At 38.3% G+C, this 26,397-nt stretch overlaps 1 protein-coding gene across 10 annotated transcripts in view; it reads left to right on the top strand.

The window, feature by feature from the left end:
* ATP8A1 (ATPase phospholipid transporting 8A1) overlaps nucleotides 1-26,397 on the top strand; it is a 248,733-nt gene that overhangs the window by 217,538 nt on the left and 4,798 nt on the right. For all 10 annotated transcript variants that reach the window (NM_001400027.1, NM_001400026.1, XM_047449508.1 and 7 more), the window contains 3 exons: nucleotides 15,863-15,951; nucleotides 16,669-16,761; nucleotides 24,850-24,941. In NM_001400027.1, the coding sequence (NP_001386956.1) occupies nucleotides 15,863-15,951; nucleotides 16,669-16,761; nucleotides 24,850-24,941 (274 nt within the window). The remainder of the gene's footprint in view (nucleotides 1-15,862; nucleotides 15,952-16,668; nucleotides 16,762-24,849; nucleotides 24,942-26,397) is intronic.

Raw genomic sequence — 26,397 nt, 5'->3', positions numbered from 1 at the left:
CATTCACTCAGACCTAATGGTGCGGGGCCCCTAGTGCCCCATAAATGAGTGTTAAGTGATTGGCAAATAACATTTTTTGCTTGCTTCCGTGTTTTAGACAAACAAATGAGAAACAGTGAAATAGAGGTTATAGAGAAGCAGCTTTCAGCTCACATAAGTACATCTTTCCAACATCTTGTGATTTCCAACACATGAAGATTTTCAGCAGCAGAACAGGATGCTGGTCTCATTTAACTAATCCTTCCCAGGCCAGGCAGATGAGCTCCCAGCCACTGTGATACTTAAGCAGCACTACATTCTATGCCTCTGAGTTTGTCTTCCAATTCCTAAGAGTTTCTCTTGTATGCCTCTCTTTACTGCGTCCACTTCAGAGAACTATCTTAAAAGGGCACAGATATTTTGCTCTAGTTAACAGGATCTCGGGGTGCAAATTATACAAATTCAGCAACTTACAGGTACAGGTCTCATGCTTCTATATTCAGCTTCATGCAGATTCACACAATCAGGACTTTATAGTCATTTCCAACTTACATTCTTGGGTCATCTTTGCAGCAAAGACAGAGCCATTTCTCTCAATGTGTTGAAAGAAAATCCTTGCTCCCTAAGTTGGGGAGGGAAGGGAACCAACATTTATTGTGTACCTACTGAGTTCTCCAGGCGCTATGTTTAATGCCAGATACTCCTTGTTTTCGCTAAACTCATGTTCCAAATCTGTGTAGTAAGCAAAGAAATAGCCAGTGACCCAGAGAATTTAACCCAGGTCATTCTTTTCAATCCCATTGGTTTCTGCTAGCATCCTGAGGAATTCAGTACCTTCTTTTTGGGGCCCATTGCTGTTCCGTACTCTCAGGTGATAACTCTTTTTGTCTTGTAGCCATCCTCCTTGCATTCAGTCCATCTGCCATTTCCCCGCTTTTCCCAGGGCCCTGAACAATTTCTATAAGCTAGCCAGATATGAAAGTGCTCCCATCTCTTTAAAAAAGTGCCCAGAGTTATAATTCCCCCTTCTCAACACCCACCTGACTCCCTCAACCCTATTTAGAGAAATTCCATCTCACTTCATATCCTAGCCTCTTGCCTCTTCTTAACAGCAATATTAGCATAAATAATACCCATTTTGTTAAAAAAAATTTAAAAAAACTATTAAATAGAAAACCCAGTCATCCTACATCATCAGAAAACGAATGGTTGCCACTCAGCTATAATAGGGCCCCATTGATGAAGGGCCAGTCACTGTTAGAGGCACTTTTCATGTAGTCACTCATTTAATGTTCACAGCCACACTGTAAGGTAAATCCTTTTAGACATTTCACAGACACAAAGTGAAGACACACTTTCTGAAGGTCAAACAGCTCCAGAGTATCTGAACTACAGTGTGAACCCAGCCTGATTCTGTCCCCTGATGCACCGTGCACACTCCTGTCTGTTCCTTTTCCATTTCTTCTCTCATCTTTTCTTTCCCCTTCCCTGTGGCTTTTCTCCCAGACTTATCAACTTTAATTTAATGCCCTTCTAGCATCAGTGCCACCCATCGAAGTACTTAGTTCCATCTGGTTGATGAACTGACCAGTCATGATGTGCATATACTATTTCCATCTTCAGCTGTCCTTAGCTGCCTTTGTCTCTGCCCAGAAGTTCTTTTCAGGGCATCAGATAGCTTTTCCCCTTTTGCTTCCGCTCATTCTGCATGCCTGAAGTGACCAGAAAGCTATTCCTCAAATATCTCAGAGTTTAGTGCAGACTTGGTTACTGTAGACCCAGCCGAGAGTTGGTTGTTCTCAGTTGGTGGGCAGGGTGTTCTCATTTGGAAAACATTCCCACCTATAGTTTTGCACTTTGTTTCCACTACAGTAATTCGACATCTCTACCCATGATAATGATTCAAATGATAATGATTAACAAGTGTCCCACAACCATAAATTATTGAAATATTTAACTGTTCAAAAGGAATTACGATATCGGGGGTTAGGGGCAGTGGGGGTAAGGTAGACAATTGGAAAATGCAACAATAAGAAATCATTTAGGAAAGGAAAAAGAAACTAGTGTGACGAACTTGGCTGTCGCTTTAAATAAGTTGCTGTCTTCCTCTCCTCTCACAAATATGGTTGTGATTTAAGAGGAGAACTTTTTTTCAGACCTGACTTGTATTTTTTCACACCAGTACAACAATTTATGGGGCAAGGTAGGCCCTGGGGAAAAGTGCTATGTTATATAAACATATGTTGGCCTGCTTTTCCGACTCGTCTAAATGATGTTACTGAGTATTTTTTGAATTTCTAGGAGAAAATAGTTTAGCCAATGATTAATAAACCAGATTAAAAAATAAAAAACCAGCTACAGCAGGGATCGTTTCATATCAGGATTAATAACAGAAGCTTAGTATCAGCAAAACCTTTAAATTTATTGTGGCATTGCAGACAGGCACTGTAAAGTCCTCCCGAGCACCATCTGTTTCTGCTCTCCCTGGCCTAAGGGATCTATAAAACTACTGAAGGAAATTGAAGTTAAGGAACGAGCATGTGTTTTACAGAATTTCAGATCTCTTGATTGAGGTTTGTAAAGGCTTTCTGAAAAACAATAAAAATCTTTGTTGAACCCTTTGGTGTCAGCCCTGTAGGAAAGGTATTAATAAACTACATTAGTGATATGATTTTCCTAAATTGTGCTGTTGCCTATTTTATCCAACATAATAAATTACTTTTCATATGAGGAATTTCCTGGTTAAAAGAGTCTTTATTGATCTATCAGCTTTTAATTACCTCCGTAGCATGTGGTAATTTATTGGTCTTAAGACCAACCCTTGTTGCTGAGGTGGGGCAGTGTTATGATATGATGGAGTTTCATCTGAGATTACTGTGTTTAGCCAAGTAGCCTGGAGGGAACAACTATGCAAAATTCTGTCAGATGTTCTTCAATGAGCCAATGACTGTGAGTCCATCCAGTAAAACCTGCCATTGGTCACAGTCCTCATGCCCCCAACAGTAAATGAAACAGGTAGACCTTCATTCACTGTTCTAAAGGCAGCTGGCCAAGAGCCACTTCCAAGCCCATTTTGTAAAGAGAAGTATATATGGAAATGCTGAGAGGAAAAGGGAGACATGGGTATGACAAACGTAATCGTGAATCAGGACCTCTGAACATCTGCATACACTTTACAGTGAGAGCTCTCCTTAGAGCCATTACGAGAACCAGCATTGTGTTTTGTAACCACAGCACCTTTGCCTGCAATATACGGCAAGTGTAGATCGAGCGTCTAATGTGTGCCAGGGCCTGTGTTAGGCACTGGAGGATGCAAGGATGAATGGAATTGGCCTTGTCCTCAAGGATCCCTTTGTTTAATGGTGGGGCATTGATGTCATAAACGAGAGAGAGGCCATGGTGTACCCGTATGCTACAGTGATGAGCAACGTATGAAAGCTGAACGAAGCCTGCTCCTGGTACGGCACAGCTTTAACTATTCAGCCCTAGAGTCAATTCATTGTCGCATTCATTCATTCCATAAATATGTGTTGAGGACTTAATTGGTGCCAGGCACTGTTCCTCAATACCAAGTTAATTGGGCAGGATCCCCATTGCCTAATTGAGGGGGCCAGGGAATGGGAAGGAGAAACAGGTACTAAACCAGTTAACAAATGACTAAATGAAGAATAAGTAAAGATAATTTGACAAAGTGATAAGTGACGGGAGGAACACAGAACAGATATGATAGGGGACAGGATTATAATGGGTGTTCCAGGAAGGTCTTTCTGAAGTTGGGACGGTTAAGCTGAAACTCACATGATGCAGGAATGAATACCTGTCATATGAAGAAGAGCATTTCACGCTCAAGGAGTAGCAGGTGCCCATTCTCCAAGGTGGCAACGGGATTTTCCATCCAAACACAAGGCCCGTGACTGCAGCAGAGAGAGCTGGAGAGAGCACTGTGAGGTGGGGTCAGTGAGGTGGGCAGAGGGCGGACTGCCTCTCTGCCCTCCAGGCCCAGCATTCTAGTGTGGGAACCACCACAGTTTTTGTTTGAATGACAGGCCAGAAATACTCATGAAAGAAAGTATGAAAGTCGTTGTGCCATCTGTTTCAATAAAGCTCATAACTGGAGATAGTTTGTTTTTTTTTTTTTGTTTTTTTTTTTTTTTTTTTTTTTGAGATGAAGTCTCGCTCTTGTCCCCCAGGCTGGAGTACAATGGCGTGATCTCAGCTCACTGCAACCTCCACTTCCTGGGTTCAAGCTATTGTCCTGCCTCAGCCTCCTGAGTAGCTGGGATTACAGGTGCCCGCCACCACGCCCAGCCAATTTTTGTATTTTTAGTAGAGATGGGTTTTTGCCGTGTTGGCCAGGCTGGTCTCGAACTCCTGACCTCAGGTGATCCACCCATCTTGGCCTCCCAAAGTGCTGGGATTACAGGCGTGAGCCACCACGCCCAGCCAACTGGACATAATTCTTGCATTCCATCATATGGTAAGGTAAAGGGCTCGTCAATGACTGGTGTTAAGCTGCTTTGTTCAAAGTTGTCACTTAAGCTCCCTAGCATGCATCATCCAAAGCAAGTTACTTTATGGCATATTTTTCAGCATTTAAAAAAGTAACTGGATTAAACAAGATAAAAACGTATTTATCTTCCATGTAATAGAAGTCAATTGGGAGACAGGCAGTCCAGGACTGGTATGGAATCTGCACAGTCGTCAGAGACTAGGTTGCCTTTAACTTACTGTACTGCCAACCTTAGTGTACTTCCTCAGTCTAGAATGGCTGTCTGAGCTCTAGCCATTTTACCAACCTTCCAGCTAGCAAGAGAGGGAAGAAGGAGTAACCCTTTCTATTTGAGGCTCCTTCTTAGACATTACCAATACGTTTCTACTTAGATCTCATTGACCAAAAGCTAATCATATAGCCAAAGTAGCTGCAACAAGAGAGCCAGAGGGATGTAGCCTTTGAGCTGGAGGAAAAGGTGTCCAGCCAAGGACCAAAGTGATTGCATCTAAAGAAGATAGAGAAAGGAGATAGATTTGATAGAATGAAGGGCAACTAAAAGTCTCAGCCATGTAAGTCAGTTTTTCTATGTAAGCCATATAACAGCTGTTTTTCTTTAGCTAAGTGCTTTTTGAAGTTTTGAGGTATTTAAAAATCATTTTCTACAGTCTTGAAATGCAGGTTATTGTGTTTTACAGACTGATTTGTAATCAAACAACTGATGCTTTATGAGATGGCTTTTTAAAGATTTTTTTAAAAAGGTAAAATGCAGAACCATCACAAAATTATAAAAATCTGTAAGAATGGTGTAACAAGTAAATATATTGAACACTGAGATATCATACCCTGTCTCATACAACTTACTTAATAACATCATAGTATTTTAAAATTTTGTTTCTCTTAATGAAAAAAATTTTTTTTACTAATACTGTCCTCATTTTTCTGCGACTTTTAAGTTTTTAAATAGGACAATAATGAAGATTAAAATAAAACGAATTATGTTTTTAATTATCTTCACTATTCTGGGAACTATATTCCTAGAGAATAGTTTCAGAACTGCACATTTTCTAGTGCTCTTGATGCCTTTTTAGAAAGACTATTTTCTTTTGCATGTTTAGTTCTCAGTATGCATTGATATATAGTCAAAAAATTTTTTATAAAAATTAACTTCTAGTTTATCCAGGTCCCAACTAGCTCTTCCTCCTTTCCCTCTAAACACCTTTTTTAATCGTTTTTTTTTTTTATTACTCTCTTGCCAGAGAACAGAGATGCAAAGTTTCTTTCTTGTATCATATGGCTAGATTGAGTATTGGTTCTTAGCCCCCACGAGATGATAACCCCTTTTTCAGCTCCTCATCACCCCAGAGAAATGTCCAAAGGAAAGAAGCACATAAATGCTGTGAGCTGGTATCTAATTTGCATATTTTCTAAGATTTGTGTTTGTTTGTTTGTTTGTTTGTTTGTTTGGGATAACCCAAGCCAAGAGTTTTCTTTGTCTCTGAGTAATCAAAAGCTGCTGAGAATAATTGTAAACATATTGGGGTTTATCTGAAACACCCTTTAGTTATTTTCTGGGTGTTCTGCCCTGTCTAGTTTCGTGGAGAAAGTAACCATCCCATGTAAGAGCCCAATTCAGTTCAATTAAACTGAGATTTATGGAGTGCCTATGTCTCAGGACCTATACCGGGTTCAGTGGATCAAAAGTTTCAAAAAGAGTCCATTCTGAAGAGCTAGTTTGTCATGGAGTAGTCCCACAGACAATTAGGATGTAAGACGCTAGCTGTTATGCTCATAATGCACAGGGACTAACAGAGAAGAGAGCGCTGGACGCCCAAGCTGTTGTTTGGAAAAGTGTCTTGGTACTACTGTTCCCCAAGCTGTCCAGGAAGGTGGGTGTGAAAAGAGTTTTCCAGGTACAGAACAGCCCAAGCAAGGAGCAAGTGTGGTGTTACCAAGGCAGAAAATGATTGGAGCTAGAACCAGAAAGTTGAGCAAAGACCAGGTCACAAAAAGTTACCTGAATGTCATTAACATCATTACTGTAAGTCATGGCAGACATCTTTTCATTACAGAATATACAGTATTCCAGAGAGTACCAGAAGCCATAGAATAAAGATTTGAGTCAGAGGAAGTGATAAATGCTATTGATAAACTAGGAAGTCATGAAGATAATTATATTTTGATGTGAATATATATACCATATAATTGAAATTTGCAAGAATTTTTTTCAGCTAAAATGAAAGACAGTAAAGTTAGTTCTTAATGATAAGGCCCAGAACAGAGAATTTGGCATTTGCACTCCTTTGTCTGTAGGCTTTCTCAGAGGGAAGTGTTGAGCCAGACTACCCAAGATGTGCAGCTACTGAAGGATTCAGTGGGACTTCTCTTCATGCCAAGGTTCATATGAACTTAGAATTTGTCTCTGGTTAAAGTACAAGGTGGCAAATTCACCACTTACTGCTCATCCAGGGATGCTTGCGTACCACCCAGTTCAACCCCATGCCCAACTACCATAATGAATTCAGACTGGAAGGCTCGGGCCTCTGAGAAAGAGTCCAACAACTTTATGACCTCTGCAGTGTCCCACCATGGTATTTCACCAGCCTGGAACACAAAGACACTTTCAGAAGTGTTTGCAAGTTCAGATTCTAATGACACTTTTCAGTGTCTGAAAGCAGAGTTGATTTTGATAGTCGATGTGAAGTTCCCATACATCAGTGGTAGCATTGCCAGCAGAGAGGACTCTAGCATTCTACTGATATATTTCTACCTTGCCATAAAAATATAGATATTAATATTGTGGATTTTAGCTTTTAAGATACTCTAGAGTATCTTTGCTGTAAAAATATAGATGTTAAAGTTGTGGATTTCTCCAGTTTTCGGGGTACTCTAGAGTAACCCTGGAGTCTCAGGTTTCATGAATAAGATCTTCCAGTCCACTGAGATTGGGTGACTGAGAAAAGGAAGTGGAGGAGAAAAGAGCCTATTATGGGTAACTGAGATTGGGTGAGATGAGACTGAAATGGGAATACAGCAACACAAAATGCACCTTCTCCGAAGAGATACCTCGCTAATAGAGCATAGACAAAGCACTGCGGTATAGCAAGGAGGAAAGAGCCACAATGCGGTTGGAAAGATCAAGAAAACTTGCATGAAAAGAAACAATACCTGCAAACTTGAAGCTAAGCATTGAAGATTTTTATTGATGATGATTTCACGAAGAAGATGCTTCCTGAGAAGACCAAAAGAGTTAACTGAGACCTAGGAGGAGACAAGAGAAACTAAATGACCTCAGACCATGGCAGATAGGTTTTAAAAAGAGAAATGTGAGAGGTGTATATGTTTCGGGGGATCATGGTACAAATCATCTCTGAAGAGTTATGCTACCAGGATGTTTCAGAGGGGTCAGAGCCAGAAAGAACCATTGACTTCTTGGATTTGGCAAAATCCTAGGAAATACATAATGGATTTGCCACTTTTGGAGTTTTCTCTAACTTGTTAACTCCCTTGGAAAGGGCCTAAATCTTTAAAGATAAAATAGCCTTTTTACACAAAGAAAAATGAAAGATTCCATTCACAGCAACAAGAAGAAACCTTACCAGTTATGTGAATGGTTAGTAGGAGAAAAACTAGAAAATTTGACAAAAATGAGAGAAATATTTTAAAAGTTGAATAAATAAACATACCATTCTCTGAATAGAAGGATCATTAAATTGTAAGTTCTTCCCAATTTGTGAGCCATTTGGGGGAACAAAAAAAAATACACCTTCTCCTCTTGATTGTAATCTAGTCTAGGAAAATAATTATAAATGCAGAGAAAGAGATTAGAGTCTGACTGAAAATAGAGGCATTATTATACTATTTTGAGTGCTTCTCATATCAGTAAAAATTAAAGTTTTTTCCTCTTTAAATTTTATAATAAAAATTTTTCAATAACTTAGTAACTTAGTCGTTAAATCAATAATATATTTCAACAAATATATGTCAAAGCGCTATTCTAGTTTCTGGGAATACAACCATGAAAGAAAATCTCTGCCTTTGGGAGGTTATAATCTAGAGAAGAAAAACATACAAACATAAGTCTATTATACAGCAGGCTGGACTGTGTTAAATGCTCTGGAGGACTTGAGTGCAGGGGAGAGGATGGGGTGGGGTGGGGTGCTGTTTTCAATGGGGTGGTCACACAAGGCCTCACTGTACCTGAAGTGTTGTGACCAGGACCTGTGGCTATCTGGAAGAAAATTCCAGATGGAAATAGACAAATGCTGAGAGCCTGAAGACTGCAGGGTGGTGGAAGCTGAATGAGGGAGGGGGTGACTAGTAAAAGCACTATTATTCCTAACAAACTAATGCAGGAACAGAAAACTAAATACCACATGTTCTCACTTATAAGCGGGAGCTAAATGATGACAACACATGGACACGTAGAGGGGAGCAACACACACTGGGGCCCACCGGAGGGTGGAAGGTGGGAGAAGAGAGAGGATCAGGGAAAATATCTAAGCTCAATACCTGGGTGAGGAAATAATCTGCATGTCAAACCCCCATGACACAAGTTTACCTATGTAACAAACCTGCACGTGTACTCCTAAACTTAAAAGTTGGAGAAAAAAAAAAAAGGCACTAGCGAGCTGGCCTTCGGAGACAGGGCTGGGGCAGAACACCCAGGGCCATGAGACAATTGTAAAGACTCTCGATTTTTCTCCAAGTCTCTGGAGGGTTGAGCCAAGGAGTCACGATCTGACTTCTAAAAGGACTGCTCTGGGGGCTCTGTTAAGAATAGTATGTACAGGGAACAGGCAGGAGGCCAGGGGACCCCTAGCAGGCTGTTGTAGCACTCCAGACAGAAGATGATGGGGGCCTAGGCAAACGTGGAAGGGCGTGAAGTGGGTAGATTCTGGATTTGGGGTGGGGAGAGGATTTGCTCTAAGAATCTTTTTTTTTTCTTTTTCATTTAAATGTTTTTGTTATGGTAGAATATACATAATGTATTTATCATTTTAAGTGTAAATTCAATGGCATTAAGCGTATTCACATTATTGTGCAACCATCACCACTGTCCATCTCTAGAACTTTTTCATCTTTCCCTACTGAAACCTCATACCTGTTAAACAATCCCCATTCTCCTTTTCCCCTAACCCCTAGCAGTCACCATTGGGCTTGCTGTTTCTGAATTTGACTATTCCAGGCACTGCATCTAAGTAGAATCACACATTTGTCCTTTTATGTCTGGTTTGTTTTATTTGGCAAAATGTATTCAGGGTTCATCCATGTTGTAACGTGGGCCAGAATTTCATGTCTTTGAAAGCTGAATGATATTCCATTGTATGGATATGCCACATTTTCCTTGTCCACTCATCTGTTGATGTTGTTTCCACCCTTTGGCTATAGTGAACAGTACTGCTGTGAACATTGGTGTATGGATTTTTTTAAGTCAAGCCAATAAGATTTGCCAGTAAATTGAATGCACAGTTTCAAAGAAAAGGGGAAACAAAGATGACTTGAGGATTTTGGCCAGGGCAGCCAGAAGGATAAAGTTTGTATTTGCCTAGAGGAGGAAGACTGGAATTTTATATTCTGCTTCTTTTTCTTTAACTTAGCAAAGTGTTCATACTGTGTAGTTAATTAAAATCTTTGTTAATGCTGGTACTTCCTTCTCTTCCTGCCTATTCTACAGCTCTTCCTCACCTCCCCACAACCACAAAAAAAAAAACAAAACACTTTTATTTCCAGGTATCATACCTTTCTTGGATTCATTGAAATACTTCTGATGATTCAGACTGGGAGCTGGGGATAGTTTAACATATTTAGCTTTTAATGCACACTCGTCAACCTTCAACAGAAAAGGCAGCCTACATTGGAAAAGGATAGTCATGGAGCTGAATCAACTCCTCTCCCCAAAATACGTAATTATCTGGCAATAACTCTCCCTAGAATAACTCCATGTCAGAGCACAAGAAAACCAAGCAAACCATAACCACCACATCTCAAGAACAGGGTCCCCAGGCTCTGTTTTTCATAGTTTCTACAACACTAGGTTGTGAGAACATATTTATCCAGCAATTATTTATTGAACATCTGCTTGGTGGTTAAGCACTTGGATCATGAGAATTAAGAGAGTATATAGTCTAACAAGAGGATGAATGAGCAACTAGAAAATGGGTGATAGGTGCCAACATAACGGAAGCCCAAGTAGTGTCCTCTGAGTCTAAGAAAGGAAAATTGAAGGACGAGTAGGCATCACAGGTGCAAAGGCCTGAGGACAAGAGTGAGCATGGGCGCTTTCCAGGCATCAAAACATGTTATGTGTAGCAAGAGATGGGCCTGGCTTGAGAGATGATACTGGGAAAGCAATCAGAAGTCAGATAGGAAAGGTCTTGAAATTGTATTAAAGATTTTGTATTCTATTCTGAGGACATTCTGAAGCCACAGAAAGGGTTTAATCCAGGAACTGCTAACATCGAATTTGCCTTTTGGAAATATCTCTCAGGCTGCAGTGTGAACAGCTAGAAGCAGAGTATTTCTGAAGTCAGTACAGCTAGGAGGACAGGCAAATTATTTGGACTGGGATAAGCAAAGTTGGCCAGAGATGGATAAATGTGAAGATGCTAAAGCACAACAGAACCTGGTGAAATATTGGACACAGGGTAAAAAGCCAATTCAGGAATAGGGCCCAGGTTTCTGTCTTGGGCAGCCAGGGATGATGCCATTCCCTGAATAGCTTGTACCAAGGAAGAGCAGCCTTTGGAGGGAAGACAGTGTGTGTTCAGTGTGGGATGTGTGAGGTTTGAGGTGCCTGTGCGACCCACAAGTTAGGAGCTCAGTAGTCTAGCCTGTGCTTCAAGTTCAGGTGAGAAATCTAAGCCACAGGTGATTAGTGGCTGATTTCCATATGAATGATGATACAAACTGCAAACCCTTCCAGGGAGGGTGTTTGTATGCTAACAGAAGGCTCCTGGGAGAATACCAGGGTAGTTTACGTTTCCCTCCAGGACTCTTCTAAACTATCAGTCTTCTGATAATTACAATCTGTGAACAGCATCTTCACAGCTTGGATAACATTCAGACCGAGGGATGCACATTTGCCTAATGAGCCACATAGTGCCCTGTTAGCTTTAACTAGTATTTTGTTATTTATAACAACCCACAACGAATATTTGCATTCCCCAAAATTAGTTGTGTGGGATGTTTGTAAGAAGGATGTAGGGGAAAGTGTTCCATAATCAATCAATACCTTTAGGAAACCTGGGTTTAAAAAACTATTCAGTAGGGTGCTTTACTCTGACTTCTTGAAGCCTTACGCTGCTCTGCGCTGTGACTCTCCAAGAGGATGCTGCCATGGTTTCTTTTCACCTTTACTAAATCTCTGGCCATGGGCCCTTTTCAGGGGATGCTTTCAGGACTAGCAACCACAGGACAGTTTCATGAGATACTGATAAGCAAAAGCTGGACTTCATTTTAACACATAGTTCAGAAATTGAATTATCGAATTAAAAGGAATAAATGTTTGTGGTGTTGGTGCACATTGCCAAATACCTTTTCCAAAGGCTAGTTCATTGCTGGTGGGAATATAAATTGCTACAAATACCTATTCCACCATACACCTCTCACTCCACCAAACTGATGGTGAATTTTTAAAATCTGATCTAATTTGTCAGTGTTCTCTAAGACTGCAGAGTGACTTAACACTTTTCCATGTTGTTAATTACTTGCTGCTGCTTTTATGAATACCTTTCCAGGTCTCTTGCCTATCTCTTGAGATTGCAGCTATTCTTATGAAGATAAATGGGCTATTTTTCTGGTCAGATATTAACCCAGAATTTCATGTATTTGTAGTAGTCATTCTCCCAGTTTTTTATTGTTTACTTTTTTAGTTATGTTTCTTTGAACACGTGGAAGTTCTACGTTTTCGTAAATCAGTTCTTTAAAGCATCCTTTCATAGTTTTTTTTCACTGTTTTTAAGCTTTGGAAGCCTTTTATATAAAGCTTTGTCCAGACACTTAATAAATAATCACTTCTTGGTTTTTTGTTGTTGTTCCCAGCGTTAACGCAACTACTCTGGAAGTTATTCATTTCTCTTACTGCACTCCCCTCCAAAAAAATGTTTTGAAGCACTATTTTCCAAATAATTTTCCCTTCCAAAATTAATATATTATGCCGGTGTAGTCAATAATTTCTATGACAAAATTATTTTTCTCCATTTTCTAAATTGGCAAATTGAGATGAATGGCACTTTATTAGGGATCTCTTACTTTGGCCTATGTTTCATCATTGCGTTTTAAAAATAGCAGATAAGACAAGCGTGTGCTGTGATATTATTGAGATGAACATCATAAAATTTATAAATTGATTTACAGTTAATTTGATATTGTCATAAAAATTTGCTTCCATGAAGCTCATGGGACAGATCACTGGAAAGAACCAGAGACAAGAGCATTTAAAGAAATTTGACAATTGAAATGAAGAAAGTTTGTTAATAATCAATGTTATGCAGCCACTTTACAAACATTATTGAGTTTAATTCCTACAATCCACTGTACAGCTGAGGAAACTGAGACTGAGAAGTTTCTTCCCGAGTGTCTGATTAGCTGGGAAGGGCCGTGCCAGGACCACTTCCAGGCCTATCACCAGACCTGCTCCAACTGGGGTCCATGGAGACAGTCTTAGAGTTCTGCAAAGGGCCTTCTGTTTTAGATGTCTATACATTTCCATGAGTAAGAGTCACAGCATGCCACTCTGATATTAATAGTGTAAACACATAGAGGTAGACTGAAGAACCATGCCGTTAGTTTGTAGGCAGGTGGCACACTTGAATTCTCTCTCCTATGAGACTGAACATGGGCACATTGAAGGTGAAGAAGGGTTTCTGTCTGGCGTGGGAACGTAGGTGCTAACAGATCATGCCGTTGTGGGTCAGAAGGTAAACCCCTCTTATCGGTCATGCCCCCTGACTTGGCCAAATGCACATAAACTCGTATTTTCTCAAAGGTTTGTTCCCTGAAAGTTCACATAGAAATTTCAGAACAATTCCTCTTCTGCAAGTTGTGTTTTCAGGCAGCGTTGGTTTATTTTTGAAGCCCCAGTGGTTCGATTTTGAGCCGGCATCACTCTGCAGAGACAAGCAGTTGCTTGTTCGCCACACACGGCCTGTGCCCTCCTGTTACCAGCTTTGCAGCTTCCTCAGCTGATCCCTTCTCAAGGCCCCCGGGAGCCACTTTCGTGGCAAATTCCATTTGGTTTCACAGTGCCTTGAGAAGGGGCAGTGGGGGCCACTTGGCCTGGTGCACCAGTCTCCCACATTAGGAGAAATTTGCAAACCGCTCTCGGAGGGAACCGGAGCTCGGCCCGAACAGGCTGCTCCTGTTCGGAGCAATCCACCATTGTCTCAGGATCCCTTCGCCTTTTCCCAGCTGACCTGCCTGTGAGTGGGGAAATGTGAAAAGTTAGAGACAAAACTGGTTTCTTCAGAGTGAGGGGGAGCTTTCTTATACAGAAAGGAAGGAAATACCTCTGTGGGATTTTATTTTTCCCCCCCTCTTCATCCAAAAAATACAAAGAGACTCTCTGTCTTTAATGCGAATGTCGGCTTTAAATCTTTTAGGTTTGGATTAACTCTGCAAAAGAAAAAAAAACTGACAGGCTTTCAGATATGACGCAGAAAAACTTTTTTCCCCTCAATTCATGTTGTTCATTTGTAATGCCAAAGGCTGGTAGACTGAATGGTGGGGCGCCAGTCACTCCTCCATTCATCGTTAGCATCACAATGGTCAGAATTAGCAGCCTTGAATCTCCACCACTTTTGCCTTTTCCACTGGTGGACATTTAATACAAGGTGGTGAAGGCAAGAATAAATCCTCCTTCTCTTGCCCCCCCCCAACCAAATTAAAATATATTAAAATTAAGCCAAGTAAATGTATTTTCAGTTGCATGCCTTGGAATTCTTACCTTACCTTTCCCCCCAGAAGGAGAAAGAAATTGGTTTTTTACAGTTGTTACCTTACTAGAAAGCTTCTTTCAATCTAAAGAAAATCTACTGACTTGATAGACATTTCCTATTACACAGTTATTGTTGGTTTTCACCATTGAGGATGTCAGCAAACATGTCAAAGATCATGTTTTGCTTATTAAATAAAGTGACTTTTATGTGAGTATTTTTCATCTTGTTGGTGTCTCGAATATTGGTGCTATTTCATTGAACCCATGTGGCAAAACTTATTTTCTGGAATTTTTTGTAATAGCATGTTTTTATTTTAAAAGTATTCAGAGCTATTCACTTCTACATAGCGAAAAATCTTAGCGTCCCTGAACCTGCGGTCTGTATCGATAAGCTCATGTCAATGCAGAAAAAATTTAAACAGCAGTTCCTAGTCCTTAATCGAGAGTCCAAATGAATAAGTAATCTGAAATATAATTTAAAATTAGAAATGTTTATGTTTGATAAGGACTGATTGATTAGGACTATTTATGTGTAATTTTGAAATTGCCTAGAATAATTAAACTCTAGGTTATTTTTAATTCCTGAACCATACCTGATTCTTTTTAATTTTGCATGATTTTTAGTAGAATCTAAATGTGCATGCGTTAGTTGGCTACTTTTTAATGGAATTAGAACAATACATATATGGATTTAAATAGGTACTAAAAATTTCCTCTTGATAAAAAGATTAAAAGAAGTGAAACCAAAATATTTCTTTTGCTTTTATTGTATAATACTATTCCTTTTAAGTTCTGTGTAATCTAATTATATTACAAAGATATTTTTTATTATAATTGCAAATAAATAATAGAATTTATTACTTTTTAAATTACAGAATCATTTTTTTTTGCAACCCAAAAGGCTCTAATACAGCAATTTGGTATTTATTACAAAGAAATTATTAAAGTTATTTTTAATACACTTTTATTTGGCTTTTACATACAAGATATTTGGTTTGACTTTAGCAATAACAGGTATGCACCAATACCAGTTATATAAATCATTGAACAAAAATTAAGATTATTACTACCTAATGTTAGCCAAAAATAATCAAATTGTTGTTTTTGTAGGTATCTTAATTTGATTATACAGTAGTCATGATTTATCTGGATAATTTTTAATATCCTATAATTTTACAAAAGTAATTTTCATTTGCCAGAAATAGTAAATTTAGTTTCTAATTATGATTTATTTTACACCATATCTTATAAGAGAATTTAATCCAGAGTATATTTTAAATTTGCTCAAAGATTTATTTTGATATTCTAAGTTAATTTCATAAGTTCGAATTCAGAGTTGTATACTCTCTTACAGAATGATATTCTTAAAATTGTTTCACTTAAAAATACATAAAAACTAAACACAAATCATGTATTTTTTGGTTTTAAAGTAATGTTTTTTCTGACGATTTACACAGGCAGCCATGTTGTTCAGTTCTGGAGTCTTTTGGATGGGCTTGTTATTCATCCCTGTGGCATCTCTGCTCCTTGATGTGGTGTACAAGGTGTAAGTATATACTCAGTTATATACGGAGAAATATAGATGCATATTCATCCTCAGATTTCTCTCTTGGTAACATCAACTCAAGCATGTAGAGCTTGCAGGATAGGGACTGGTAATATTACTTAATTTTAAATAAGGAAGGGGTGATTCAGGAACTAGAAAACTAGTTTAAAAGACGAAATGAGTAGTAAAGCGGGTAGTTTCAGTTAACAGAGAAAAGTAAATGGCACTGGAGAAAATTACATCGGGGAGTATGTTTTTTAGAAACAGCCCCAAAACTCATATAAAAGTAAAAGAAAAATTGTACTATTTCCAAAAACATTTTTTATTATAAAAAGAAATGTTTTGCTTGCCTGATTCCAAACATATATAAAATATAAAATGAAAGAAAAGAAAACCTTACTAATTTTTTTCAAGGGTTATAAATTTTAAAATCTTATGTCTTCCCACAAAAAAGATAGCATTTAATTTAATTACATGATATTTATTTAAATAACTATGGGAGTTTCAATATTGTAAACCTAAACCATCATTTATTTTTAAAACTATAATTTCTATATTCTCAAAATTACGGTAATTTTTAAGATTCTTTTGAAAAACTGCTTGTACTCTTGTTACCATTGTGCTTTATCAACCGCGTGATAATAAGCCAGACATCTAGTTTTGTAAAATCTTCACAGAAGTATTTCCATGCAAATCCCTTTTTTTTTCTTTTTGCAGTATCAAGAGGACTGCTTTTAAAACATTGGTCGATGAAGTTCAGGAGCTGGAGGCAAAATCTCAAGACCCAGGAGCAGTTGTACTTGGAAAAAGGTAAAATACACAGTGAATATATTCTTTTCCAAATGAACTTTAAATTTATCTTGTACTAGTGGTTGGAAATAAGTGATAAGACTTGTATTTGTCAGCATCAAGCTGGCAGTGTCATTGGCAGGTTTGGGAGTCAGAGACATGTGGATTTAAATCTGTCGCTTTCTAAACTGTGCCCTTGGCTACGTTGCTTAATCCTACTGAGCCTCAATTTCCTCATCAATAAAATGGGGGCAATAATACCTACCTCATGGTTAGTTGTAAGAGTTGAATGAAGTATTATAAAGAACTTAGCATAGTGCAAAGTCTTTAATGAGCATTAAATAAATGGCAGTTACAAACATTATTGTATTATTAAACTGCAAGAGAAGAAAAAGACTTTTAGCTTGAAATAGTATCCATAATAAAATGTATGTAATTGGCCAGGCGTGGTGGCTCACACTTGTAATCCCAGCACTTTAGGAGGCCGAGGCGGGCAGATAACAAGGTCAGGAGTTCGAGACCAGCCTGACCAACATTGTGAAATTCCATCTCTACTAAGAATACAAAAACTAGCCAGGCATGGTGACGGGCACTTGTAATCCCAGCTACTCAGGAGGCTGAGGCAAGAGAATAGCTTGAACCTGGGAGGCAGAGGTTGTAGTGAGCCGAAATCAAGCCACTGCACTCCAGCCTGGGCAACAGAGCGCGAGACTCCATCTCAGAAAAAAAAATAGTATGTAATCAAAATCATAGTTTGATATAAGGCAAATTACCTTGTATAATTGCATTTGTGGTTCAGTAGTTATTAGGAACTGACCTAGATATGTATCATATATGAAGTGAATTACCTATCCCAAGTTCTCTTCCTTACACCACCCCCTCCAAAAAAAAAAGGAAAGTTAGAAAGCTAATCAAATCCACTAAATTCACAAAGCATTGTAAGAAAGAAATTATAATTAGTTGCAGTCTATAATAAAAGACAATTATTAAGATAGGAGGAGGAATTTATTTTTTTTCTTCATTTTTATCATACTAAAGCTGAGGTTTTGGCTAAACTATAGGAAATATTTTACCCTAGTATATGTCACCTTAATCATGATTCACTGTTGTTATCCATTTTGACACAATGGAGTAGTTGTCAGAACTCAGTGAGACCTTGGCTTCCAGCTCTCTTGCTCTCATTATGCTGAAGGAACACATCACACACCAGTGTGTGCCACTTTTTTGAAAATAATAGCACTGACCTTTGTTGAGCGCTCACTTCGTGCCAGGTGCTTCCCTTGCATTTTACGTGTACTATCTCACTGAATCCCAGTAACAACCCTATACAGATCCATCATCTCCATTTTTTTCCAGATGAGGAAACTGGGGCTTCGAGAGATGAAGTTCCCAAAGTTGTTAGTGACAGATCTGGGCCTGGAGTCCATGCCAGCTGATCCCAGAGCTCCTGCTCTGAACCATTCACAATTCTGCCTCCTTTTGCTGTTTGTTCAAAAATATAATAGAGCTGCAAAAAACAGCCTACTACTAACTTGACAAAGTACTTAATCTCTGACTCAGCATCCCAGTGTACAGGATGGGAATGATAATACCTACTTTCAGGGTTGTGTCCTCCTCCCTCCACCTTTTTCTTCATCTAAAAATTTGCATCACAGGATTCCTCATAGGAAAGTACCTGCAGTTTGTCAGTAAATTCAGCTAGTAAATTAATTATGTCAGTTCTCTTTCTCTAGCGATAAAAAGAATACAGTAAGAGTTCTGGCCAGGCGCGGTGGCTCACACCTGTAATCCCAGCACTTTGGGAGGCCGAGGCGGGCAGATCACGAGGTCAGGAGATCGAGACCATCCTGGCTAACACAGTGAAAACCCGTCTCTACTAACAATACAAAAAATTAGCCAGGCGTGGTGGCGGGCGCCTGTAGTCCCAGCTACTCGGGAGGCTGAGGCAGGAGAATGGCGTGAATCCTGGAGGCAGAGCTTGCAGTGAGCAGAGATCATGCCACTGCACTCCAGCCTGGGTGACAGAGCGAGACTCTGTCTCAAAAAAAAAAAAAAAAGAGTTCTAGCTCATGAAATTGTGAATAAAACAATGTATTCGTAATTATTAGGGAAAGGCCACTGTTAATACTGTTACTATCCTTAGTAGTAAATTTCCAGATTTGTAAGTATGTTAATAAAATCACATTAAGCCCTTCCACGTGATACTTAGTTTGTCTTTTTGTTGTCTACCAATGACTTCAATTCATAAATCAGGCCAGTGTAATGACCCCCAGGTCCTAAACATTCAGTGATTCCGTAATATATGTAGCTCCTTCTGTTAAATAAAATAAGCCAGAGAGCCCAAAAAGGAAAGAAGTGAATTCCAGCATAAATGACCACCAACTTCTCCATAGGAAATGCATCAGATAAATTCCCTGCTGCTGCCTCGCTCATTTGCCTAAAATAGCTATTTAGTTTTTCCTAAGAACTCAGGAATGTGTTAGCTATCAGCTGAATACCAGACAAAAAACCCTGGACCAGCATGTGCTCCATGTTGCCACTGCCGCCCACTGGTGATCAGAAGGTTAATGATCAGTGTAACCATAGTGGCTTCGTGCTTGATGGCAGGTGCCCGGAGGAGGGAGGCAAGGGGAAGATCTGTGAAAGGAGAAAAATAGCAACTGGATGGAAACATCTTCATGCTTAAAGTAATGGCACTCTAAGGTTAAAGAATTGTTGGATTGATTTTACCCCCTGGATTATTTTAGGAATCTTGGAGAATGACATTGATTTCAGATTTCAAAAAAAGTTAGCAGTTTTTTTTTTTTGTTTGTTTGTTTTTTTTTGAGACGGAGTCTTGCACTGTCACCCGGGCTGGAGTGCAATGGCACAATCTCGGCTCACTGCAACCTCTGCCTCCCAGATTCACACCATTCTCCTGCCTCAGCCTCCCTAGTAGCTGGGATTACAGGCACACGCCATCACACCCGGCTAATTTTTTGTAATTTTAGTAGAGACGGGGTTTCACTATGTTGGCCAGACTGGTCTCGAACTCCTGACCTCGTGATCCACCCGCCTCAGCCTCCCAAAGTGCTGGGATTACAGGCGTGGGCCACTGCACCCAGCCAAAACTTAGCAAATTTTATATCTACTTTATCAAAAGGGAAGAAATTGTGATTCTTGTGAATTCTAATGATACCAGACTTTCTTTGGTTCCAAAACACCATGTTATTTTATATCTTCCAGTCTTTGCATTTGCTGTTCCCCTGTTTGGGAGCCCCTTCTTACAGACTAGGCACTCCAATTCCCAGCTTTCCAAACCCAATGTAGATTCAATTTTTTCAGCTGTTTGCATTCACAATATTTAATTCCTAGCCTACTATCTCTGTACTATTATACTCTGTTTATACTCTGTATAAACTTCTATAGGTACACTGATCGCATTGCATTATAAAGTATTAGTTTACTCTATGTATGTTTTTATTTTCCCCCTACTAGATTGAGCTTCTAGAGAGGCCCATGTCTTAGTCATAGCTGCAATGCAACACCTGGTACAGCACCAGGAACTTAGTAGCACTCAGTAAATACTTGTTGAGTGGATGAACGGAATAGTTAAGAGAATAAACTAAAGAATGGATGAAAGAAAGAGTGGGCGAAAGGATTGCTGAGTAGGAGAAAGGATTGTTGAATTGATGGTTGACCTGTGGGCTGTGAAACAGAAATCTGATTCATAAAAACATAGAATTGTATAATTTGTACTTCCCAAACTAGGTAATATCCAAAGCAACCATCATTTACTTTTTTGTCATACAATGATGCAGTTCTTAAGAAAGATCTTGTGAGTTGATCATCCCCAATTTTTTTAATCTTCAGTAAGTATGACTATTAAACTCAAGTTGTGTATAAAATGCAAATGTCAGAAAAACAAATTGTAAGCACTTAAGGAAGATTAATATTTACAATAATTTCTCATCTTTGTTCATTTTCAGAAAAAATCATCTTGGTTAAAACAGCCATTTTTAGTGGAAATAGTATGCCACCTACCATATTACCCTGCAAATTAGATTCATTTTATTACATTTTAGGGGAAAAATATGTTTAATCAATCTAAGTATGTTCTAAATACGCATGCTTTTGAGCCATGGGTTATGGTAGAAATAAATGCAAGTCTACAATGATGAGAGAATAACCTAAACCTTACTCCTGAAGGTTTAAAATAACCCAAACCTTGCTGCCTCATGACTTCTACCAAAGTCCATGTGAGGAGCTGAGTTCTTAAGAACTGAGGAAAAACCGTCCACTGGAGAAAAATAAAACGGAAATTGTACTTTAAAAAAAGTAAAATAACCCAAATCTTAGTCCTGAACATTTAAACCTTATCCAAAAGTTTACAGTAAGAAATGATGGACACTGTGGGCTCATTGGAGGCAGGACAATTATTTTTGGATATCATTGGAGTATGTGTGAAGCAGTGCATTTCATAGGCAAATACAATAATGAGACTCATAATTCTTTTTTATTTCTCACTGTAGATATTAGCCAGCATATCATCATTGGCCATTACTAAATAGAATTTTAGCCTAGGATCTTCAGGTCAGTCCTCACTGATTTGCCTGGCACTACCGTTTGGCCATTGTTTACAGCTTTTGCATGCAGGGAGAGTAGGGAATATGAGGTGTCAGAGAACTCGGTGGTGTAGATGGTGACAGTGCTCTCTCTAACCTTTCTGATGTATTGTTCATCTTAATGAAAAGCAGTTTTAACCTTGCTCCAGAACTAGTAGAAAGGAAATTTTATTTCTCAGTGTTCACACTCGATTTTATATCAGTATGACTTAAATACTTTGGTGGGGATTGAGGACACAGGGATCTGTCAAATGTTTCCTTCAGCCTTCTCTCATCACTGTGGTAATGGTTCTGTCCAACATTCAGAAAGAAAAGTGACAGAACACTGAAATGTTTTCAGCTCCAGGGCAGAGATAGGCCTGTTATATTCATTGTTTGTTTCTCCGCCACCACAGCTACCCTAGTGTAGGACAGCTATTGCATGCTATACATTAAACATTCCATGAATGGATAGTTACGTACTTTTTGGAGATTTATTTTAATGAGTCAACCTAAATAGCTTATCAACTCAATATGTAGACAAATGCAAATTTATTCCTCTTCAAGTTTCCCACTGAAAATTCCTTAAGACAACACGTTCCAACACATTCCAGAACCATGAATTGGTTTTTACCAACACTGACATTTTTTAGTATTTGAAATATTATTTTAAACATGTTATCTTTATATTCACCTCCACCAAATGTTTAAATTGCAACATTTTAGTGGGTTTGGAAATAAGGTAACAATATTTAGTAGTAGTTGTGTGATTGCATTAAACAAACTCAAAATTTACATAGCTTGGTATGTAAATGAAAGACTATAAGAGACTACGTAAAACTGCTAGTCAAGAGTTGTGAATAAAATGTGGTTTTAGTGAGAAGGTATCTTTAGTGTTTTTTTTTTTTGTCTTTTCACACTGTTAAGCTGTTCCACTAAAACTGAACTTTTAATATATCTATTAGTGTTAGCATAAATATATTTTATAATGTGCCTTAATAGTAGTATCAGTATCTATAAACATTGATGGCCCAGAATTGCATAGATGTTGAAATGAGTAGTTCCCCAAAGGTGTAAGATAAGACTAGAGAAATACAACTCATCATCACTTATTTATTTAGCAACCTCCTGTGAATGGCATTTATATTCTGAAGGAGGGACTCTGCTCTACAGGACTAAAGCAAGAAGTTCAAAATAGCTAAGGAAAAACAAAACAACAAAAATCTAGTCATTTTCTTAGTAAAGAGGTAGAATGAGAACATTATAAACTAAAACCCATGTGCAGCAACACACATCTCACCTTGCGCTTATGTTGACTAGAAACCAAGGCATCAAAAATACTCCTTACAAAGTACCTTTTGTTTGGTGATGATCTCTGTTCTAGTTGATTTTTTATAATAAATTCTCAGCATCTTGGGGGTAAAGGTGGGAGGGCCCAGCATTTGTTGAGTGCTTCCTAAGTGTCAGTCATTGTGCTGACAGCTCCCTGCATCCTCACAGTCTGCCTGAGAGTTAAGTACTGCCCTCCTGATATATAGGAGATGACAGAGAAAAGCTTGCCTGTGGTGACCCAGCTAATAAGCAGCCAACGCAAAATTAAACCAAAGCCCTACTCCAGAGCCCATGATCTTTCCTGAGTAATGTGCTTCTTTCTTAAGAAAGAGACTTTCTTACTGCTTTGTTTTAATGCTGTACGTTAACTTGATATAAAAGAAGAGCTAATGAGAGCCTTTATATGAACTGTACAAAACGGAATTATGTTACCTTATGTATTTCAGTTGCTGTAATATGAAAGACTAAATTCTCATGTCTGCCTTCTTACCACTTTAATATTGTAATATTAAAGTATTATGCATTTAGGAAGGCCAGCCTGAAACCTGGAAAATGTCTTTTGGGAAGAAGATGCTGCATAATGATACATTGCCATCCTCTAGTCTCCCGTAGTCATTTCGGTTTGAAACACCAAAGACTTTCCAGCACCCCATCCACAAGGCTCTGCTAAGGAAGTCAGACCACCTGCTGCTAAAGCTGCGACTTCCTCAAAGCAGTTACATATTTTAGTGTCCCTCAGGGTCCATGGGTCTGTAATGCTAGATCATTTAAAGAGTAGAGTAAGAAAGCAACTCTGTAAAAATGGCCCTTTCTCATTTCTCATATCTGTTTATTTCACTGACAGAAACAAGTTTTACAACTATTTGCAGAACTGCTGGAGTTTTAGATTAATTAGTTTTCTTGCCTTCATGTAGCTAATTTCCAATGACAATAAAATATGTCCAATAATACCAGTTAACCTCCCTAGACTTTAAAATATATATGTGGAAGATTACTACAAATGTTAACATTTCTAAATATTTTTTCTTCGGTTTTTGCCTAAATGTTTGCATAATTCATTTACACAATGAGTTCATTTTGCAGAGGATCCTTTTTTTGTATATGATATTGTTTCATTTCAGGGTCTTAGAAAAATTGGCAAAATACAGAACTAACATAACACAGCAATTTAACTAAAGCTTTTATAGTGGGAAAAACACAAGATGGAAATTTTTCAGCTGAATCAGTTCCAGTTATTAAAATTGCATAAACATTTGCTGCAACACATATGGATTACTTATTTGTTTCTCATGCCTATTATGTTCTTTAATATCAAAACAATTTTATAAAACAATGAAGAAATGGCATGATTTGGAAGATGGATGATGTCTATAAGTACATTTCAGAATTATTACTCAACTTCACGTATTCAACAAATATTTGAGTTTCTACTGTGTGAGACACTTTTATGGGAAGTTGGGGGAGAAGATGCCTTATTTTTTACAATGTGCTTTTAGAAGTTACATAATTATCTGGATTTGTATCTGAGGAGACAACTATTCTAAACACTTCCTGAAAAATACTTTCCTTGTTATTTCACCTACCATAATTATTTTTCTGAAAATAGTTTATTTTAAAATAAAATTAAGGAACACATGTCATACCATATTAGTGGTAGTGAACTTCTAGTTAAAAAGTCTATGAAATGTCTTCTTTGTGTAATGTTAGTTAATATTTACTTTAATATTTTTAACTAAAAAATAGTTTATACCAAAACGTGCCAAATGTGAAAAAAATAGTAATAACTAATTTTTTATTCTAAAAATTGCCATGCTTAGAATATATGTAGTCAGTTTTTAAAAGTGAATAACACTACTGTTGTTTTGTATTTTTTTATTTTAATTGTGTTATACTGGCTCTGTGTTGCCATTTGACTTAAATATAACTGAGTGGGGGGTGGTGAGGAGATCCTACTTTTTACTGGGAGAAGGATTATTGGGGACCAAACTCCTTAGGGAGAAAATGGCCTCAAAAGTCTGTCTAAATACTTGAAATTTCATTCGCTATCTGAGAAAATGTGTAAAAAGAATCACTAGGCTACGGATTTCTCGAGCAATCTTTTGTTTAAGTCTAACTCTCTTTGGTGGTCCTGTGGGCACACTGGGGTCTCTGCCGAGTTGATAATTCATTTCACACATTTGCACCTGCTCTGCAGCCTGACCGAGAGGGCGCAACTGCTCAAGAACGTCTTTAAGAAGAACCACGTGAACTTGTACCGCTCTGAATCCTTGCAACAAAATCTGCTCCGTGAGTATTTGAGTTTCTTATTTTTAAATAAATTCTCTGCCATTGCTGTATCATAGCATTTATACAGTATCCTGACTTTAGGGATATTTATTTAAAACTAATGTCTAAAATAAGTTTTGCATATTTGTAACCTGTAAATAACAGAAAATCCATTGGTCAGAACCATTTCACTTTCAACAGAAGAGATAGTTAATTTTAAAATCTTGCTGTTTCACTTAAAGAAAAACAGTATTTCCACATTCCTTGCTTCCTCAAATCTTTTTCTTTAAAGCCAGTAAATCTTAATTCTTAAAAGCTGCCCCTGTCTTGTTATCTTTTCTACTTGAATAACTTTGCAAGAGCCTTTCAGCTTTCATACAACACAAGGAAGCATATATTTTCCCCTTCAGAAATATTTATGAATATTTAGAGTTGTAAGACATTATTAGATATTGTGCCCTCTTAACATTTCAAGATCTAAAAAAGAATATAAAATGTAAAGCCCTGTAGTAAATGTATTTGTGTGAGTAATATATCTTTTGTTTCATGTTGTTTCCACTTATAATTTATTTTCACTTACGTATACTCATGTCTAATGCTTTTGCTCTTTATACTTCAAGAGGCCTTTTCTAAAGATGTGATCCCCTTGGGGGCCATTCCTTATGCCCATGCCATGTCGGGGCGTGAGTGAGTTTATTTGTGATGCTGAGAGCCAAGGGGAATGTCCTCTGAAGGAAGGAGACCACTTGCCACCATGAGCAGCTATTTGTGTTTATCTCCTCCTCCTCGCCTTTTTAAATTGACAAACAATAATTGTCTATATTTATGGAGTACAAGGTGATGTTTTGATGTACAGTTGGCCCTTTCTATCAGTGGGTTCCACATCTGTGGATTCAGCCCGCTGTGAGTCAAGTATATTCAAGGGGGAAAAAAAAATTCACAAAATTCCTAAAAGCAAAACTTGAACTTGCCATGGACGAAATACTACATTGAATCCACTAGAATGAACTGATGTGAGGGCATTGTATTAAGTATTATAAGTAATCTAGAAATGATTTTAAGTCTACGAGAGAATGTGTGTAGGTTATATGCAAATACTGTGCCATTTTATATAAAGGATTTAAGCATCCGTGGATTTTGATATTTAAGGGGGTCCCTGAAGCCATTCCCACAGATACCAAGGGACCGTACATGGTGGGATGGTTGAATCAATTACATTATTCACCACCTCACCTACATATCACTTTTCCTTTCCTCTCATCCACCTGACCTATGTGGAAATATGTGAGCCCACTTGACTCAACTCCCTCACCCCCTCCAGAATTGGGGAAGCAAAAATTAGAAGAGTTGGAGTTGACTTACGGGACAGAGGATTTAGGGGAATTGAGGGTGCCTACTCAGTCTTCTAGAGAGAAGAATACCTAGAATCTAAACTGGCAACCTAAGATCATCCCACTCTTTATTTTGAAGTTAAGTC

The sequence above is a fragment of the Homo sapiens genome, chromosome 4, assembly GCF_000001405.40.
Source record: "Homo sapiens chromosome 4, GRCh38.p14 Primary Assembly".
Classification (NCBI taxonomy): Eukaryota; Metazoa; Chordata; class Mammalia; order Primates; family Hominidae; genus Homo; species Homo sapiens.
This window is presented reverse-complemented; position numbering and strand designations above follow the sequence as displayed.